Source organism: Homo sapiens, chromosome 9 (assembly GCF_000001405.40).
Source record: "Homo sapiens chromosome 9, GRCh38.p14 Primary Assembly".
Lineage (NCBI taxonomy): Eukaryota > Metazoa > Chordata > Mammalia > Primates > Hominidae > Homo > Homo sapiens.
The window spans coordinates 77083140-77105358 of NC_000009.12; the positions used below are offsets into that span (position 1 = coordinate 77083140).

General features: G+C 40.0%; 1 annotated feature.

The window, feature by feature from the left end:
• Window positions 4338-4920: an enhancer, noted in NCBI's record as "NANOG-H3K4me1 hESC enhancer chr9:79702393-79702975 (GRCh37/hg19 assembly coordinates)". NCBI's record gives its function as "activates a minimal SCP1, AML or CMV promoter by ChIP-STARR-seq in primed H9 embryonic stem cells {active_cell/tissue: H9 hESC(primed)}" and the evidence as "EXISTENCE:reporter gene assay evidence [ECO:0000049][PMID:30033119]".

The following is a 22219-nucleotide window of genomic DNA, read 5'->3' on the forward strand; positions in this document are numbered from 1 at the left end:
GAGGAGATTAAAGGCCTCTTCAACTGTTAGGCAGAGCCATTGTTCACAATGGAGCGTATCCCTTGGTGTGATGGATTGCATTGATGTGTGGCCTTCTCGCTTTGAATGTGTGCTGAAAATATAGATGAGCAAAAGTACAGACAGTAGTAACACAGAGTCCATGAGATCTCCAAGCTGAAAAGGCTGAGAATTCAGACAGGAGCTAAGGGCTTTTCATGGTTGCTGAACCTAAAAAACTAAGTTTGTCAGACAAAATTGTAATACTTGGTACCAACTCCCCATAATAAAAGATTTTATTTTATTTTATTTTTTTGATTCAAGTCCACAGGAGTCTTCAAAGGAGACAAGGAGAAGGTGACGAAGGACTCCAACACAGCAATTTTTATCTGCAGGCTCTGTTTATACTTCATGCTTCCTAGGTTTGGTCTTACCGAAAGAGTTTTCTAACAGTCAGTCTGTTATAATCTAGGTCAGAGCACTTCATTTTGGCCCTTGGGAGATTAACCAGCCACTTGAATGCTGATTTACTGCTTAAAGGACTAAAGACTTTTAAAATCATGGGCCTGTAGCTTGCGGAGTTTTGAAAATAAATCTTCCTGACTGTGCAGCCAGGCAATGCAGCTGCACATACTTTTTGAGGACCGAGGTTTGTATTCATCTCAAACAATTTCTATGAATTACAAAGTAAGGTGATACCTTCAAATTATGTATACTTTCCTCCCGCAAACTTTTGCCTACCCCCCAAAAAACTATTCATTATAAAATTTTCAAGCCTATCGCCTTAACCTATCTCTCTTGAACCTTGTAAATACATATGCTTCATATCCCATCGGTGCAGAGTGGACACAAATACTATAGTTTGTTACTGGACAAGACATCTGATTGACAAATAGCATTAAAGGAAATATTGGTTAACGGCATTGAAGTTAGAGATCACTCTTCTTCAACATTAAAAAAAATCTCTTCTAGTCTTTGCAGATAGTAAAGGAAATCTAGTTAAAATCTCATTAAAGAACCATGCCAACATCACACAAGCTTAAAAGAAAGACTTAACATATTAATTTGCAGAACAAAGCCAGCTCAAGCCTACAAATAATCTATTAGCACATTTGGCAATACGGGGCTCTAACACTTAGTTATTCCTACAGCCTCAGGAAGCCAGGGCCTTCCTGTGGCCTTCCCCCATCCTCATCCTACCCCCAACCCCTTTGCACCTGGACCCCGGTTTTTGTGTGTGTGTGTTATGAAGAGGGTTATTTTGCCACGGAGAGAGGAGGACTTTCATGACTTCAAACATGGACATTAGATCAAGTTTTTATCTTCACCCATAATCCTGCCTTTGATGTCACCAGACTGAAACCTCTCAGAATAGAAAGGGGGAGCTGTGAAAAGAGGCCTAGTTCATTTATATGTTTAAGTGCTGCTACCCTGATTCGCTCGGGTAGCATTTTCATTTGTCTTCTGCTTTGCATCCTAAAGGCAGGCTTATACCAGGCAATTATGAATGGCTCCTCTGAACAAATAATTGAAATTCACAAGTTGTGGGGTATGGTTAAACAATGTCTGGGTTGGAGGTGTGAGGTCATACATACTCCCTCAGGCATTATTAAAGTTACAGGCACTCTCCTTACCAGATGAGTATTTGTCTTACATTAGCTTTAATGACAACTAATCAGGTAAGCTGCATGTGCTGAAGACCGAGCCGTCGCTCTTTACAAAGCCATCAGAGATCAGAGCTCTGTGGAAACAGCAAATTCTCCAAGAAACATGAGGTCCCAACGTGGCTACCCAGTTTTGAAAATAGGAGTGGATACAAAGTAGATTTAATTTCTGGAGAAAAAACATTCTTTTGAGGTTAAGAAAAGACAGCGACGTAGAAATTCTGAGTTCCAGATTTCGAAGAGTTCCTCTTTTCTACACAACCGGGGTAGTGTCATCTACGCAGGAGGCTCGGGGTGAATGTTTGAAGGCCAGTATATTTGCACATGTGCATTCATACTCACACACCCTTAGCTGACTAATTACAAATTAATTACTCCAAGACAAGTTCTGCCCTCTGCTGTGTATATCCAAATTGGTTAATATAGTGGTGTGTTCTCTAAGGAAAAGATTTATGCTCGCTTATAGAACATAATAGGCTCTTGTATTAACATGAATATTTGTTCTAAAGTAGAATCAATGTAAGGCAGCACAAGCAGCAGTCTTGAATGGGTCCTGTTCTATGAGCTTTTAAAGGAATCTCATAATAATGTAAGGGGACTCTCACCTCTAAGGCTGTCCTACGACTCAGGGCTCAAAATTAACGGTCCCTTCCACATCCTAGTGAAAAGCCAATGTATCTCACCAGGTCTATTATAATAAAAACACCTGATGGGGAATCTTGCCCTTCTCCCTTATTTGCTAGCATCTGTGGACTACATGTTTGGAGAGAAAAGAAAAAACAGGCAGAATGGAAAGTGTGTAATGATAGTATCTACAGATGAGTCAGATGCCCTGGAGGACTGCAGACTTCTCCAACTATATCTGTGTGAAAGACTCCCAAACTTGTTTTCTAAGTACAAGGAGATGTGTTCTCCCAATAAGATTTCCTGGAGTTAAATTCTAGGGCAATGAAAGAAGGAACTATTTCCTCTCTCTAGAACCTTAATTAATATTGTGATCTCAGAAATTCTATTTTCTCATCTTTCTACCAGAAAGTGCTTGAATTGACAAGGAAACATCAGAATTAAAAACTGAAGATTAGATTAGTACGAATTGATACCCATAAATACAGATACATGCCTACAGGTAAACAAAGATAAACAGAAACAGAGCAGATGTTTCTTATGACCTTATTTGTAATTATAAGTGGGAAATAATGTAAATGCCACTTATTAGGGACTGGTTAAATAAATACGGGACTTCTGTGAAACGGATGTGGCATTAAAAAGAATGAGTTAGATTCAGAGATGATTTAAGGACTTCAGTGACCCGAACAGTGAAAACATAATGGTACTCCCCTAATATGTAATGCCAATTTAAAATAAATTTAAACCACAAAACTCAAAATCAAATCAAAATTTGATTTTGAAATTAAAATAGCTTCTCTCTAGATTTTCTTAGAGTCTGAACATATCTTGCAACATACTTAAAGGATGGGGTTTCCATTCTTAACGCCATCTGGATTCGGTTCTAAGAGGCAAAAACTTATGATCCTCAATTTTTCTGGTTCAACAGAAATAGCTAGTATTGAAAAACAAAAAAGCAGAGCAGAACAGAATAGCGGTTGAAAGCTGGGGTATGTCAGAGAGCCTAGGTTTGAATTTTGCCCTCAAAACTTACTAACTTTGTGGTCTTGGACAAATTACTTAGTCTCTCTGTTTCTTCTGTCATCCTCTGTATAATGGAAATAATAAAGTTACCATTTCAAAGCATTAAACAATACTACATAAAATGATTAGTCCTGTGCTTGCAGCAGTAAGCATTCAATAATTACTATTATTAAAGACTTTTGATGATAGGAGTGATGCTCTCACAGAATCTGATTCAATCTTCAGAGCAATTAGACAAGACGTTCAGGGACTTGGGTTATAGTCTGTGTTTTTGTACTAAGTAGCCATGGGACCGTGGTAACACCTCTATTTTATATTTTGGTTTTCTATAGATTCTGAATGTGTTCATTAAACAAGTTGACTTAGCATCCAAGACCCTTCATGATTGACATCCTGTTCACCTGTAGAAATTCAAGACGAGGCTGGGTGTGGTGGCTCATGCCTGTAATCCCAGCACTTTCGGAAGCCAAGAGGGGCCGATCTTCTGAGGTCAGGAGTTTGAGACCAGCTTAGCCAACATGGTGAAAGCCCTCCATCTCTACTAAAAATACAAAACTAGCCGGGCATGGTGGCGTGCACCTGTAATCCCAGCTACTCGGGAGGCTGAGGCAGGAGAATTGCTTGAACCCAGGAGGTAGAGATGCAGCGAGCCAAGATTGCACCACTGCACTCCAGCCTGGGCGAGCCAAGATCGCGCCACTGCACTCCAGCCTGGGAGACAGAGTAAGACTGTCTTAAAAAAAAAGAAAGAAAGAAAGAAAGAAAGAAAGAAAGAAAGAAAGAAAGAAAGAAAGAAAGAAAGAGAAAGAAAGAAAGAAAGAAAGAAAGAAAGAAAGAAAGAAAGAAAGAAAGAAATGTTAGATGAATGTGCTCAGTACATAGGACTACCCTGAGAGGAGGACGGCCAGTGATCTGACATGAGACTGTATAGCTGGCATTCTCTGGCAAATTTACCAAGACAATATTTCGCTGGGGGACTTCAACTCCACTTCTACTTAACCAAGCTCTGAAACCTGATGTATAAAACCAAAGCATGGGAAATACCAGTGTGATGTAGACAAGGTGACTCCCTGAGTGACTAGCCTGGGTTCCATGTGGGTGATCTATACAGGAAGCCCAGTTAGAGCCCAAAGATTGTTTGGTGAACGTGAACCCAGAGTTGGGGGAGTCAGATATTGTGCATTTTTAAGGAACTCTTCCAGATATTCCTCCTTGCCATAATGACTGAGCTGAGATTCCTTCTAGGATGGAGCTTAGACACATTCTTTCCTTAGTTATGTTAATACTGTGCTATCAGTAAAGCCTGGGTAAGCATCAGTCTCTCTAAGGGGACTTTGTCTTACTCTGAATGCTCATCATATACACCATTTTATAGTTTAATTCTCAGAGAATAATCTATTTTTTTGGCTACAAATCAAATTTGTAAAGCTGCGTTTCTCAAATAATCTGTAGTGAAGGACCATGTTTTTTTGTGTGTGTTTTTTTTACTTGTAAATTGATCATTTTTATTTATTTATTTATTTATTTATTTAGAGACGGAGTCTCGCTCTGTCTCCCAGGCTGGAGTGCAGTAGCCGATCTCGGCTCACTGCAAGCTCCGCCTCCCGGGTTCACGCCATTCTCCTGCCTCAGCCTCCTGAGCAGCTGGGACTACAGGCACCCCCCACCACACCCGGCTAATTTTTTTGTATTTTTAGTAGAGATGGTGTTTCACCGTGTTAGCCAGGATGGTCTCGATCTCCTGATCCTGTGATCCGCCCGCCTCGGCCTCCCAAACTGCTGGGATTAGAGGCGTGAGACACCGCGCCCGGCCGATCATTTTTAATTGTATATATTTATGGGGTACAAAGTGATGTTATGATTTATGAATACAATGTGAAATAAGTCAACCAAGCTAATTAACATATCTATCACCTCAAATATGTAACTTTTTTGTGGTGAGAACAGTTGAGATTTACTCTCAGCATTTTTGAAATTTACAACACTCTATTATTAGCTATATTCACCAAGCCATGCAATGGAAAAAAGAGAAACCCATACTCCTCTTGTCTAACTGAGATTTTGTGTGCCCCTTGATTATCATCTCCCCATTCCCACCTATTTCCCCAGCCTCTGGTGGCCACTATTCTCCTCTACTTCCATGAGCTCAATTAATTTAGATTTCACAAATAAGAACATTTGGTACTATATTTACCTTTCTGTGCCTGGCTTATTTCACTTAGCATAATGCTCTCCAATTCCATTCATGTTGTCACAAATGACAGAATTTCTTTTCTTTTTAAGGCTGGGCACGATTCTATTGTAGATACATACTACCTTTTCTTTATCCATTCATCTGTTGATGGGCATTTAGGATGATTTCATAACTCGGCTATTGTGAATAGTGTTGTAATGAACTTTGACAAACTGATTTCAAATCTTCTGTGTAAATATCCAGAAGTAGGATTGCTGGATTAGATGATAATTCTATTTTTAGGTTTTTGTTTTGTTTTGTTTTGTTTTGTTTTTTTGAGACAGAGTCTTGCTCTGTCGCCCGGGCTGGAGTGCAGTGGTGTGATCTCAGCTCACTGCAACCTCTCCCTTCCAGGTTCAAGCAATTCTCCTGCCTCAGCCTCTCGAGTAGCTGGGACTACAGGCGTGTGCCACCACACTCAGCTAATGGTTTTGTATTTTTAGTAGAGAGGGGGTTTCACCATGTTTGCCAGGCTGGTCTTGAACTCCTGACCTCAGGTGATCCGCCCGCCTCGGCATCCCAAAGTGCTGGGATTACAGGTGTGAGCCACCACACCCATTTATTTTTAGTTTCTTTGACAAACCTCCAAACAATTTTCTGTAATGGCTGTACTGACTTACATTCCCACCAACAGTGTACAAGGGTTACTTTTTCTCCAACTCCTTGCCAACACTTGTTATCTTTGGTCTTTTTGTTAACAGCCATTCTGACAGGCATGAGGTGATATCTCATTGTGGTTTTAATTTGCATTTCCTTAATGGTTAGTAATGTTGAGCATTTTTTTTTTCATATATCTGATGGCCATTTGTATGTTTTCTTTTGAGAAATATGTCTATTAAAGTTCTTTGCCCATTTTTCATTGGATTTTTTGTTTTCTTGCCATTGAATTGTATGAGCTCCTTACATATTTTGGAAATTAACCCCTTATTGGGTACATGGCTTGCAAATATTTTCTCCCAGTCTGTAGGTTGTCTCTGTGCACTGTTAATTGTTTCCTTTGCTGTGCTGCCACTTCTCTTTTGTTTGCTTATGTTCCTTTTTTCCTTTCTTTCATTTCAATAGGAAACAAAACAGAGCGAGTCACCTTGTCCACATCTCACTGGTATTTCCCATGGTTTGGTTTTATACATCAGGCTTTAGAGCTCTATTAAGTGGAAGCAGTGTTGAAGTCCCCCAATGAAATATTGACTAAGTTTCTGAGTATGGGTCTTGGTAAATTTGCCAAAGAAGGCTAGCTATACAGTCTCATGTCAGATGACTGGCCGTCCTCCCCTGAGGGTAGTCCCCTATACTGAGCACGTTCATGACATTTCTACAGGTGAATAGGATCTCAATCATGAAGAGTCTTGGATCCTAAGTCTTGGGAAAAGATGGTGTTTGGTCACACGAAGAAGTTCTTCAGTGTCGATTTCTGAAATTTTGGTGCACTCATCACCCAAACAGTGTACATTGTACCCAATGTTTAGTCTTTTATCCCTCACCCCTCTTTCACTCTTTTCCCTCAGTCCCTAAAGTCCAATGTATCATTCTTTTTGTTTGTTTGTTTGTTTTTTGAGGAGTCTCACTGTGTCACCAGGTTGGAGTGCAGTGGTGTGATCTCGGCTCACTACAACCTCCAACTCCCTGGTTCAAGCGATTCTCCTGCCTCAGCCTCCCGAATAGCTGGGATTACAGGCACGCACCACCATGCCCAGGTAATTTTTATATTTTTAGTAGAGACGGGGTTTCACCATGTTGGCCAAGATGGTCTCCATCTCCTGACCTCATGATCCACCTGCCTCGGCCTCCCAAAGTGCTGTGATTACAGGCATGAGCCACCACACCTGGCCCATTGTATCATTCTTATGCCTCTGTGTTCTCATAGCTTAGCTCCCACTTATAAGTGAGAACATATGATGTTTGGTTTTCCATTCCTGAGTTACTTCACTTAGAATAATAGTCTCCAATGCTGCCATGTCTTAGTTTGATGTCATTCATTCGTCTATTTTTGCTTTTGTTGCCTGAGCTTTGGGATCCAATCCAAAAAAATCATTGCCCAGACCACTGTCATAGAGTTTTCCCATATGTTTTCTTCTAGTCGTTTTACATTTTCTGGCCTTATGTTTAAGTCTTTAATCTATTTTGAGTTTTTTGTACATGGTGTGAGGTAAGGGTCCAATTTCATTCTTCTACATGGGGATAACCAGTTTTTCACCACCATGTATTGAAGAGACTATCCTGTTCTTATTGTATATTCTTGACATGCTTGTTGAAAATCCCAATCCATTGTGGACTGATGTTTTTGTTAAATACAATAAAAATGTCACAAATATATTAATCTGCATGAAAGTTTCTTTCTTTTTTTTTTTTTTTTTTTTGAGACAGTCTCACTCTGTCGCCCAGGCTGCAGAGCAGTGGTGCAATCTCGGCTCGCTGCAAGCTCTGCCTCCTGGGTTCAATCAATTCTCCTGCCTCAGCCTCCCAAGTAGCTGGGACTACAGGCACATGCCACCACGCCTGGCTAATTTTTTGTATTTTTAGTAGAGATGGTGTTTCACTGTGTTAGACAGGATGGTCTCAATCTCCTGAACTCGTGATCCGCCCGCCTTGGCCTCCCAAAGTGCTGGGATTACAGGCGTGAGCCACCGCCCCTGGCGAAAGTTTCTAAATTTAATTTCTGTACATATCTTTCTCAGATTTCTACCAGACAGTTGGAGGACCACCGAAAGTCTTTGAGGAGCTTGCCCCAAAATCCATACTTGGTTGAATTTTAAACTTCTTTTTGAAAAAATTAATGCTCAGGTTTCTCCTTATTTTCTAAACATATATTGGGCCATTCCTCCTTCTCCTTCCAAAGTGAGGCTCCTTCTCCTTAATCTTCACTTCTGGAAATGCTGGCAGGCTTTTGAGAGCCAACTCAATTGATAACTCAGCTGATAGTAATTTCTCTTCCTCAGGCTAAAGTAGCACTTTGTGTCTTCCATACTGTACAACACATGGTCTTAGTTTAGGCTTCCCCAAAAGCAGACTCTGAGTCAGGGATGCAAAGGCAAAGAGTCTGTGTGAGAGATGATCTCAGGAAATACTGGTAGAAGAGTAGGGAAGGAGTGGTGAAAAAAAAGGAAGGGAAAGCAGCCAATAAAATGTTCATTGTTTACTAAGTTACCGCTGTGGGCATTGGGAGCTTGATCAGGTTGAGTAACTTAAGAAACCAGTATAAATCCTCAGTGTTATGCTACCAGAGAAGCAAGGGATCTAGAGGATTTATTAGGGGTGAGGGCAATGTAATTCCCCAATATGTTGGCTTGCCAAAGTGTTCAATGTACTCTCTGGCAAAGAAATGCAAGTGTGGCAGTTGTAGATATCTGTGAGGAGATACACGTAAGACGTGCACAGCAAATGCAACATCTATGTCTTTAATTACGGTTATTGGAGTGTAGACTGTTTGAGGTTAGGGGCTATAAACGGTCCTAATTTTACATAAGGCACTTGATAAATATGTGTTTCTAGAATGAATATAAATTTGAGAAGTGTTCATACATGTAATTTTCTTACTGGAAAGTAAGTAGGACACCAGCCTTCACATTTCAGAATGTTAGTTAGTAAATAGATTAATTCTTACTATTTTCTTTCATTGAAGTAAGGGTTTATCTTTCTTGCAATAAAACACAAGTAGGTCACTAAACTGTGTATTCCTGGATTGATAAGCTCTCTGAAGTACTGAGTCCTTTCAGGTGCAGGTGGAATGCCGCTGTTCTAGCTCGAGCAGTGCTTCTCAAACTTTAATGTGCACGCAAATCAAGGAAGCATCTTATAAAAATACAGATTCTGGTTCAGTAGATCTGGGGTAAGGCCTATGATTCTTCTTTTCTATCTGGCTTACTGATCCTCAGACCACACTTTGAATTACAAAAGCATAGGTCATAGAATTAACAGTGTGATTCCTTGGGTTACTGGTCCATTGAATGTCTTTGCTTTACAACATTCCAAAAGGCTTCAACTCCACTTCCACTGCTGTAATAGAGCCAGCTTGTTATATCGGCTCCCAAGAGCCAGTTAAATTTTCAGGAATTTGACAAGTCAGTTGTTAGCTTGAAATCAGCCATGCTGGGAGTACTTACACCGCATGAGTCAGCAAATTTTATAAGTCAGAGTTTGTTTTCCAGAGAGCTGGTTGACCAGTATATGCATCCTTGTTGCCTCCAACCCTGAATACTACTCTGCCCCATCAGGCATGCACCCAGAAGACTATGAAGATCCTTCGATCCTTTGGGGTATTGGTAGGAGTGGGGGGTGCTACAGAGGGTAAGAAGACAAGAATCTCTGAGTTGGAATCGAGGAAGAAATGCAGACAGAGGTAATTGTTGTTGTTGTTGTTGTTATTATAAGTTATTTCATTCTTGAGAATTTTTTTTTTATTTTTTTATTTTTTGAGATGGAGTCTCACTCTGTCGCCCAGGCTAGAATACAATGGCAGGATCTCGGCTTACTGAACCCCTGCCTCCTGGATTCAAGCAAGCCTTCTGCCTCAGCCTCCCGAGTAGCTGGGACTACAAGCGTGAACCAGCACGCCCGGCTGATTTTTGTATTTTTAGCAGAGACGGGGTTTCACCATCTTGGTCAGGCTGGTCTCGAACTCCTGACCTCAGGAGATCCATCTGCCTAGGCCTCCCAAAGTGCTGGCATTACAGATGTGAGCCACTGCACCTGGCCTGAGAATTTATTCTATGAAAATATTTTAACAGAGCAAAACTGTCTATTACAATATTATCTGTGAAAGTAGAAGAAATGAAGGCTGGGTGCAGTGGCTTATGCCTATAATCCCAGCACTTTGGGAGGCCGAGGCAGGCGGATTATGAGGTCAAGAGATTGAGATCATCCTGGCTAACATGGTGAAACCCCGTCTCTACTAAAAATATAAAAATTAGCTGGGTGTGGTGGCGTGCACCTGTAGTCCCAGCTACTGGGGAGGCTGAGGCAGGAGAATCGCTTGAACCCAGGAGGCAGAGGTTGCAGTGAGCCAAGATCCTGCCATCACACTCCAGCCTAGGTGACAGAGTGAGACTCTGTCTCAAAAAAAAAAAAAGGAGAAAAAATGAAATATTATGTATCCATTAAGCAAGATTATTACTAAGCCTATAGAAATATATAAAATGTGCATAGATAATGATGTGGGGACAAAAGCAGAATACAAATATGATAGTTGTTATTATGTGGATTTGTTGCTTCAACTGTGTAGAAACATGGATGCATTTAACAAAAAGAGGAATGAAATAAATACAAACAAAATCCTGGCATTATAGTGCTAGTTTTAGAGGAAAATTTTAAAAAATATTCTGAATATTGTAGCCTATGAAAAATAAAACGTAACAAAACATCTTAACTTGTCTAATTATATTTATTTTCAAATTTAAAAAAAAGTACATCAAAAGTAAGAACAGGAGTCGGGCACAGTGGCTCAGACTTGTAATGCCAGTACTTTGGAAGGCCAAGGCAGGAGGATTGCTTGAGCCCAGGAGTTTCAGACCAGATTGGGCAACATGGCAAGACCTTGTCTCCATAACAAAATTTAAAAATTAGCCTGCTTGGTGGCTCACACCTGTAGTCCTAGTTATTTGGAAGGCTAAGTTGGGAGGATCACTGGAGCCCAGGAGATCAAGGCTGTAGTGAGCCATAATTGCACCATTGCACTCCAGCCTGGGCAACACAGCAAGACCCTACCTCAAAAAAACAAAACAAACAAAAAAAAAAAGTAAGGCTAACCAAGCAAAGTCAGGAGAAATATGAGTAATAGTTAACATTTGTTATGTGTTACATGTGAAAAGCACTATTCTGTGTTCTTTATAAGAATTAGCCCAGTTAATTCCCACAACCTATGGTTGAGGAGCTTTTCTTATTGCCATTTTGCAGATGAGAAAACTGAAGCACATAGAGGTTTGTAAGTTTCCTAAGGGTATACGGCTGGTAAACCACATAGTTAGGTTTCAAACCTGACTCTTGAGCTCTGTAAATTCTTGAATCTTCATAAAATAGTTTTTGCAAAGTTCTTTCTGTCTTTATTTATTTATTTATTTATTTATTGAGACGGAGTCTCGCTCTGTAGCCAGGCTGGAGTGCAGTGACATGATCTCGGCTCACTGCAACCTCCACCTCCCAGATTCAAGCAATTCTGCCTCAGCCTCCAGAGTAGCTGGGACTACAGGCATGTGCCACCACACCCAGCTAATTTTTGTATTTTAGTGAAGACGAGGTTTTACCGTGTTGGCCAGGATGGTCTCAATCTCTTGACCTTGTGATCTGCCCACCTAGGCCTCCTAAAGTGCTGGGATTATAGGCACGAGCCACTGCGCCTGGCCATTTATTTTTTTGAAACAGGGTCTCACTCTGTAGCCCAGACTGGAATGCAGTGATCATGGCTCACTGCAGCCTCAACTTCCCGGGCTCAAGTGATCCTCCCACCTCAGCCTCCCAAGTAGCTGGGACCACAAGTGTGTGCCACCATGCCTGGCTAATTTTTTATTTGTATTTTTTAGAGATGGCATATCCTTATGTTGCCCAGGCTGATCTCCAACATTTAGGTTCAAGTAATCCTCCCACTTCAGCCTCCCAAAGTGCTGGGATTATAGGTATGAGCCATCATATCTGGTCAAAGTTGTTTCAGAAACAACAATCCTATCTCAAGCAAGAAAGATTCAGCCATAATTGTTTGTTTGTTTTAAAAAATTAACTTTGACCTGTGAGAGAAAAGTGTAAAATTAAAGGCAATTTCTAATAGACTCAACAGTCACTCTGCAGAAATAATCAGTTCCTTGCTGACTGAGGTAAGAAGAGGCTTCCCCACTCTTGTAGGCAAAGATGAGCCACAATCAGGTTCTAGGTAATCTAGACCTCTCCACTTCATGTTTCTTCCAGGAGCCAGAAGATAGGTCGCATGTTTTAAACGTAGGATGTCGGCAAACATCCAGCCTGTCTTTCCTCACGCTCTTCATCTGCTGATTGGGATCACTAGTGTATTAACCCTATTGCCTTCAGTTGCCTAGGAGAGCAATATACGATGGCTATTCATTCAACAAATGTCCTAAAATCCCAAAGTATAGGAATTCTTAGAAAATGTATGATATCAATATAAGTATGTATAGGCCAGTCATGGTGGTTTATGCCTGTAATCCCAGCACTTTGGGAGGCCGAGGTGGGTGGATCACTTGAGGTCAGGAGTTCGAGACCAGCCTGGCCAACATGGTGAAACTCTCTACAAAATATAGAAAAATTAGTCGGGCGTGGTGACGTGTGCCTGTAATCCCAGCTACTTGGAAGACTGAGGCATGAAAATTGCTTGAACTCGGGATGGGGAGGTTGCCGTGAGCCGAGATTGCGCCACTGCACTCCAGCCTAGGCAACAGAGTGAGACTCTGTCTCAAAAAAATAAAAATAAAAATAAATAAATAAAATATAATTACGTATAAATATAAAGTATAATCCTTTCACATACAGCTTAACAAGAAATTTTATTTAATGAAATACCATTAATTGTACTGTGACTAGCACAGAATATCAATTGTCTTGTTGAATATAGTGGACATAATTCCTAGCCTTTTTTCTTTAAAAGTGTAACATACTGGCCAGGCGCAGTGGCTCATGCCTGTAATCCCAGCACTTTGGAAGCCCAAGGCGGGCGGACCACAACATCAGGAGTTCTAGACCAGCCTGGTCAATATGGTGAAACCCCTGTCTCTACTAAAAGATACAAAAATTAGCCGAGCGTGGTGGTATGTGCCTGTAATCCCAGCTACTCGGGAGGCTGAGGCAGGAGAATCGCTTGAACCTGGGAGGTGGAGGTTCCAGTGAGCCGAGATCACACCACTGCACTGCAGCCTGGGCAACAGACAGAGACTATTCCATCTCAAAAAAAAAGAACATGCTGACAATACCTCTGGATGAGTAAATAAATTACTTTGTGCTAACATATTATGAAATAAATTAGAAAATATTATGATTGCATTACTTTCATCTTAACATCCAAGTGGTTCTTTGCCCTCAGAGCCAATATTTGATTTCACAAATAACCGCAAAATTGGAAAAAAAAGTAATATTATTACAATAAAGTTGTATGCAAGCATTACAAAATAAAGAGATTTTGCAACTGCTGGTTGCATTTTTCTGTCAGCTGCTCTACAAATTCAGGCTAAAAACACTTTAACTGCATTCAAGTTGGTTTTTGCAAACAAGCCTTTTAGGTTTAAAAGCTGTTCAACAGAATTGACCATCTTTGTAACTCTTCAGTTTCAAAATGCAAATAAATGGTCCTCTAGGTGCTCCCTATGTATTGTTACAAAATCTACATCCTTTTCACCCCTTTTATATCCCTTTTACGGCTATTAATTTTTAATTCTGGAGACACAGTCACTGTGTTTCTGGTTCTCTGGCGGGAGATAAATGTGATTTAGATCCTGTTTTATGTACGCTTGGGGTTGATGGTTCTGATTGTATCTATTTCCCAAGAGAAAAATTGCTGGTCCCCACAAGTCCTTCCTTGCTGGTCATAAAACAAATATTAAATAATGGCAATAAGCTATGAACCTTCTACAGTGCTCCAATGTTTAATTAAACGATTGCTGGTGAAAATAGCTAGTTATATAGAGAACTCACATGATTTACCTTATGTGTAGACCATACACATTTCTCGGGCCCTCAAGACCTCCTAATGCATGTACAGAATATCAACTATTATTTCTTGAGCCATATTTTTATAACTTACAGCCCTCTGGTATGTTGATGGGAGAACAGGGGCTACCCAAGTTGTGTTCTCTCAAAACTGGATTTCTGATTCCCAAACAGAACTGTTTTTTGACACTTAAAATAAACAAACCCTGTAAGTCTGTTACATTTAATATTTTATTCTCCACCCCTCCCCGCCCCCCCACCCCACCCCCACCCCACCCCCTCCCCTGGCTATTTAATGTGAGGTTTGTAGAGAAGTAAAAAGCTTTTAAAACTTCAGTTCTTCCTTTCATTACTTTTATCAAAGAATATACAGAAAAGAGCTGGAAGAGTTTTAAAATGCAAGCCTTGATGACATTCTGGAGCTCATCTAAGTATACTCTCTCTTTTCTTTTTTGAGACGGAGTCTCACTCTGTTGCCAGGCTGGAGCGCAATCTCGGCTCGCCGCCATCTCCGCCTCCCGCGTTCAATCGATTCTCCTGCCTCAGCCTCCTGAGTAGCTGGGACTATGGGCGCACGCCACCACGCCCAGCTAATTTTTGTATTTTTAGTAGAGATGGGGTTTCAGCATGTTGGCCAGGATGGTCTTGATCTCTTGACTTCATGATCTGCTCGCCTCAGCCTCCCAAAGCGTTAGGATTACAGGAGTGAGCCACTGCGCCCGGCCGTAAGTGTACTCTATCTTAATCACTTATAATTTTGTTTACAGGAGTATAATCCTCTCAGTGCTGTTATTGTCAGTCTTCCAGAGATTCTGCAAAGATTATTAGCTAAAGTGCATAGGATCTGTCCTAAAAGGCTCTAAGGAAAGATTTTAAAGTAGGCATTAGGATCAAATTACGTGTGTGCATGTGCATAACCACAGAGTGGGCTCCTCCCACCCACACACACACATATTAAGTCAAAATAGAGATACTTTCTATTTTTTGTGTATCTTTTTAAAATGGGTTTTGGGAACCCCTGCATGTGTCCCCCACTTATCTCAAATCCTCACAATTTATTTCTTCTCCCAAAATTATAAAAAAAATTTTTCTTTCTAGGGGCAAAAATGTTCCTAAACATTAATACATATTTAAGAAATAAGCCAGAGCTGAGTGATTTCACTTCACTGGGGATCGCTTTACTGATTGCTACAATGCTGTGGACTCATTTGGCTGATCCAAATATGCACTTAATTTCTGTCTATATAAATTATATGCCAATATGATTTATATCTGATTATATATAATTTATATAGATATAATTTATCTGTATATAATATCTCTCTATCTACATCTCTCTATATGTAATTTATATATAATTTATAGCTACACAACATAAACCAGATTGCGGTGATGAACATTCTCCAGAAGCAGAGGCATTTCAGGTAGATTCAAATAAATGATTTGCAAAGAATCATCAAAAATCGATCTTCTGTTCAGAGCTGCACTTCATTAAATAAATGTGGGATTCAGTCATAAAAAGAAAATAATATGCCTTGACTAGCTATGTTTCACCTTTTAAAAGAGAAAGAGAGAAAAGGAAGGAGTGAAAGAAGGAAAGAAGAGATTTTTTTAAAACTTTAAAATGTTGTGATAGGGTAGAAGAGAGTGGGATTAGGGAGTTGCGGGGTTGGGGGAGGATTGGTCCTGGCCATCTTATTTCCATTTACTGACTGTATTACCTTGGGAGAATCAGTTCATTTTTCTGAACATCAGTTTACTCCACAGAAAACAGGAATAATAATGCTCATCTTATAGGGAACAGAAAGATATTTACACATAAAAGCTTTGGAAACCATGAACTCACATAGGTTAATTCAACGTGTTAATTCAACTTCTGTTTCTATGTCATCCCCAGTGTGAGACAGGAAAAGCTTTATTTTCTCACTTTAGTTGGATTCTATTTGTGACACGATGGTTTAAAATCATGTCTTAAGGAGATGATGGCTTTGGGTATTAGTCAAGTCTACAGACTAGTGCTTTTCAAACTTCAGTGTCCACACAAATCACCGGGAGTCTTGTTAAAGTGCAGGTCTGAGGCGGAGCTTGAGATTCTGTGTGCCTAACCAGCTCCCAGGTAAGGCCAGGGCTTGAGAACCCTGCCTAGTTTTTGATAATATTAAGGGCTGCTTCACCACTTCCACATGCTGAGCACACATTATTTATTGGATCACAGCACAGAGTTGTAAGTGCTGCTGCTGATGTCATTCGAGTTTTCTTCATGGTGATAAATACGTCCTCTGGGAATGATTGCAGCCAACAGAGAGGACTGTAAACTGAATGACAGGATGAGGCAAGTAGGGGAGAGAGTGATCCATGGAAGAATCTGCTGCTTCTCCTCCTCTCTTGCCTGTCACTCATGATGAATGGCTCTATGCAGAAAGGTTGAACTCAACTGCAGTGGTGACTTGCAATTAAACTCCCCACGCATTCTTTACTATGTCTTTCATTGGCATACTGTCCATAATATGGACCATAATTACGGTCCATAATACATTTCATACCAAGGTGGAGACAAACCTTCATTTTGGTAGATTGTTACACACATAAGCATCTATCTCTCTTATTAGGGAATTTACTTTTATACCTTAAAGCAGAGGTTTTGGCTTCATAACATCAAGATGAAGCAATAATAAGAAATACAAATGACAAATTACAATGAATAGTACAGAGGCGAGCCATCTTCACTAAAAGCCACATAGACACCTTAGTCTCCACTTTTTAAAATCAAGCCATTCATCCAAGAAATATTTATTGATTCCCTACAGCATGCCAGGTATCATTCTGGGATCTAGGATAAAGGATTGAAAGAAATAACCTCTGCTCTGACAGAGCTTACAGTTTATACAAATAAGAAAATATACAACATACCAGGTAGGGATAAGTAAAGAAAAAAAAAAAGATAAAGCAAAGTAAGGAAGAAAGGAAAAGCAGATGTGGGAGTTTTATTTTACAAGAGGGGAAGATGATAGTGATAAGGGGGCAGGGAAGACTTAAAGAAAGTGAGATCAAGATACATGGATGAGCCCGCCTTGGCCTCCCAAAGTGCTGGGATTACAAGCGTGAGCCGCTGCACCCAGCCTACCCTTTCTTTAATCTCTAATTTTTGTTTTGTCAAGATGGAGTCTTGCTATGTTGCCCAAGCTTGTCTTGAATTCCTGGGCTCAAGCAATCCTCCCGTTGCATCCTCCCAAAGTGCTAGGATTAAATGCCAAGTACAATTACCCTTTTAAATATATGTTTTATTTTTTAAAAAAGTTTACCTAATTTGTATACAAATATTCTGATAATCTATTACATACATCTTTAAAAAAACTGTAATACTATTTATTTTAGAACATCTGTTAATGAGTGATATGATTTGATTCTGTGTCCCCACCCAAATCTCATGTCGAATTGTAATCCCCACACATTGGAGGAGAGTCCTGGTAAGAGGTGACTGAATCATGGGGGCAGACTACCCCCTTGCTGTTCTCATGATAGTGAATGAGTTCTCATGAGACCTGGTTGTTTTAAAAGTGTGTAATGCTTCCTCTTTCGCTCTCTCTTCCTCCTGCTCCAACCATGTAAGATGTGCTGGCTTCCCCTTCACCTTCTGTCATGATTGTAAGCTTCCTGAGGCCTCCTGGCCATGCCTCCTATATAGCCTGCAGAACTGTGAGTCTGCATAATAACCAGCTAACATCGTGATGACAGAATCAAATCCACACATATCAATACTAACTGTAAATGTAAATGGGGCAGGCACAGTGGCTCACGCTGGTAATCCCAACACTTTGGAAGCCCGAAGTGGGTGGATCACCTGAGGTCAGGAGTTTGAGAGCAGCCTGGTCAACATGGCAAAACCTCATTTCTACTAAAAATACAAAACTTAGCTGGGCATTGTGGTGGGTGCCTGTAATTCCAGCTACGTGGGAGGCTGAGGCAGGAGAATCGCTTGAACCTGAAAGGCAGAGGTTGCAGTGAGCCAAGATGGTGCCACTACACTCCAGCATGGGCTATACAGCGAGACTCTGTCTCAAAAATAAATAAATAAATGTAAATGGGCTACATGCCTCAATTAAAAGACATGGAGAGGCAAGCTGGATAAAGAACCAAGAACCAAGACATTGGTATACTGTCTTCAAGAGACCCATCTCACATGCAGCAACACACATAGGCTCAAAATAAAGGGATGGAGAAAAATCTACCAAGCAAATGGAAAACAGAAAAAAGCAGTGGTTGCAATCCTAGTTTCTGACAAAACAGACTTTAAACCACCAAAGATAAAAAAAGACAGAGAAAGGCATTATATAATGGTAAAGGGTTCAATTCAACAAGAAGATCTAACTATCTTAAATATATACATACCCAACACTGGAGCATACAGATTCATAAAGCAAGTTCTTAGAGACCTACAAAGAGACTTAGACTCCCACACAATAATAGTGGGAGACTTTAACACCCCACTGACAACATTAGCAGGTCATTGAGGTAGAAAATTAACAAAGATATTTAGGACCTGAACTCAGCTCTAGATCAAATGGACTTGATAGACAACTACAGAACTCTTCACCCCAAAACAACAGAATATACATTCTTCCCATTGCCACATGGCATATACTCTAAAATCAATCACATAATTGTAAGTAAAACGCTCCTCAGCAATTGCAAAAGAACTGAAATTATAACAGTCTCTAGGGTCACGGTGCAATCAAATTATAAATGAAGACTAAGAAATTCACTCAAAACCATACAATTACATGGAGATTGCATAATTACTCTTGAATGATTTTTGTGTATATAGTAAAATTAAGACAGAAATCAAGAAGTTCTTTGAAACTAATGAGAACAAAGATACAATATACAGAATCTCTGGGACACAGTTAAGGCAGTGTGAAGAGTGAATTTTATAGTACTAAATGCCCACATCAAAAAGTTAGAAAAATCTCAAGTTAACAACCTAACATGACAACTGAAAGAACTAGAAAACCAAGGGAAAACCAATCCCAAAGCTAGCAGGACAAGAAATAACCAAAACCAATACTGAACTGAAGGAGATTGAGACATGAAAAATCATTCAAAAGATCAATAAATCCAGGAGCTAGTTTTCTGAAAAAATTAGTAAAATAGACTGCTAGCTAGACTAACAAAGAAGAAGAAAGAGAAGATTCAAATAAACACAATCAGAAACAACAAGGGGAATATTACCACTGACCCCACAGAAATACAAACAACCATCAGATAATACTATGAACAACTCTACTCTATGCACATAAACTAGAAAATCTAGAAGAAATAGATAAATTCTTGGTCATATACACTCTCCCTAGAGTGAACCAGGAAGGAATTGAATCCCTGAACAGAACAATAATGAGCTCTGAAATTGAGGCAGTAATAAATAGCCTACCAACCAAAAAAAGGCCAGGACCAGATGGATTTACAGATAAATTCTACCAGATGTATGAAGAGCTGGTACCATTTCTACTGAAACTATTCCAGAAAGTTAAGGAGGAGAGAGTCCTCCCTAACCCATTCTACGAGGCCAGCATAATCCTGATACCAAAACCTGGCAGAGATACAACAATAAAAGAAAACTTTAGGCCAATATCCTTGATGAACATTAGTGCAAAAATCCTCAGCAAATACTGGGAAACTGAATCCAGTAGCACATCAAAAAGCTTATCCACCACGATCAAGTAGGCTTAATCCCTAGGATGCAAAGTTGGTTCAACATATGCAAATCAATAAATGTGACTCATCACAGAACTAAAGACAAAACCCACATGATTATCTCAGTAGATGCAGAAAAGGCTTTTGATAAAATTTAACTCCATTCATGTTAAAAACTCTCAATAAACTACGTATTGAAGGAACACACCTCAAAATAATAAGAGCCATATATGAGAAACCCACACCCAACATCATACTGAATGGGCAAAAGTTGGAAGCATTCCTCTTGAAAACCGGCACAAGATAAGGATGCCTTCTTTCACCACTCCTGTTCAACATAGTATTGGAAGTCCTGGCCAGGGCAATCAGGCAAAAGAAAGAAATAAAGGGCATCCAAATAGGAATTTCTATCCCTGTTTGCAGATGACATGATCCTGTATCTAGAAAACCCCTTAGTCTCAGCCCAAAAGCTTAAGCTGATAAGGAACTTCAGCACAGTCTCTGAATACAAAATCAATGTACAAAAATTGTTAGCAATCCTATATCCCAAAAACAGTCAAGCTGAGAGCCAAATCAGAAACAAACTCCCATTCTCAGTTGGCACAAAAAGAATAAAATACCTAGGAACACAGCTAACTAGGGATGTGAAAGATCTCAACAAGCAGAACTACAGACCACTGCTCAAAGAAACCAGAGATGACACAAACAAATGGAAAAACATTCCATGCTCATGGATAGGAAAAATCAATATTGTTAAAATGGTCATACTGCCCAAAGCAATTTAGAGGTTCAATGCTATGCCTATCAAGCTACCATTGATATTCTTCACAGAATTAGAAAAAACTATTTTAAAATTCATATGGAGCCAAAAAAGAGCTTGAATAGCCAAGGCAATCCTAAGCAAAAAGAACAAAGCTGAAGGCATCATGCTACCCCATTTCAACTATACTACAGGGCTACAGTAACCAAAACAGCATGGTACTGGTACAAAAATAGACATGTAGACCAATGGAACAGAATAGAGAACCCAGAAATAAGACCACACGCCTACAACCATCTGATCTTTGACAAACCTGACAAAAACGAGCAATAGGGAAAGGATTCTCTATTCAGTAAATGGTGCTGGGATAACTGGTTGCCATATGCAGAAGATTGAAACTGGACCTCTTCCTTATACCGTATACAAACATGAACTCAAGATGGGTTAAAGACTTAAATGTAGAACCCAAAACTATGAAAATCCTGGAAGACAATCTAGGCAATAGCATTCAGGACACAGGCACGGGCAAAGATTTCACGATGAAGATGCCAAAAGCAACTGCGACATAAGCAAACATTGACAAATGGGATCTAATTAAACTAAAGAGCTTCTGCCCTGCAAAAGAAACTATCAACAGAGTAAACAGACAACCTACAGAATGGGAGAAAATATTTGCGAACTATGCATCTGACAAAAGTCTAATATTCAGCATCTATAAAAATGTAAACAAATTTACAAGAAAAAAAATTAAAAAGTGGGAAAAGTACATGAACAGACATTTTCCAAAAGAAGATATACATGTGGGCAACAAGCATATGAAAATAAAAATTTCATTATCACTGGTCATTAGAGAAATGCAAATCAAAACCACAATGAGATACCATCTCACACCAGTCATAATGGCTATTATTTTTTATTTATTTATTTATTTATTTTTGAGACAGAGTCTCACTCTGTCCCCCAGGCTGGAGTGCAGTGGCGCAGTCTTGGCTCACTGCAAGCTCCGCCTCCCGGGTTCATGCCATTCTCCTGCCTCAGCCTCCTGAGTAGCTGGGACTACACGTGCCCACCACAAAGCCTGGGCATTTTTTTTTTTTTTTGTATTTTTAGTAGAGACGGGCTTCACCGTGTTAGCCAGGGTGGTCTCGATCTCCTGACCATGTGATCTGCCCACCTCAGCCTCCCAAAGTGCTGGGATTACAGGCATGAGCCACAGTGCCCGGCCCAGAATGTCTATTATTAAAAAGCTGAAAAATAACAGATGCTGGTGAGATTGTGGAGAAAAAGAATGAGAAAAAGAAATCCCACTGTTGGTGGGAGTGTAAATTAGTTCAACTATTGTGGAAGACAGTGTAGCAATTCCTCAAAGACCTAAAGACAGAAATACCATTCAACCCAGCCATTCCGTTTCCGGTTAGATACCCAAAGGAATATAAATCATGCTATTATAAAGACACATGCATGCATATGTTCATTGCAGCACTATCGACAATAGCAAAGACATGAAATAAACCTAAATGCCCATCAGTTATAGATTGGATAAAGAAAATGTGGTACATATACACCATGGAATACTATGCAGCC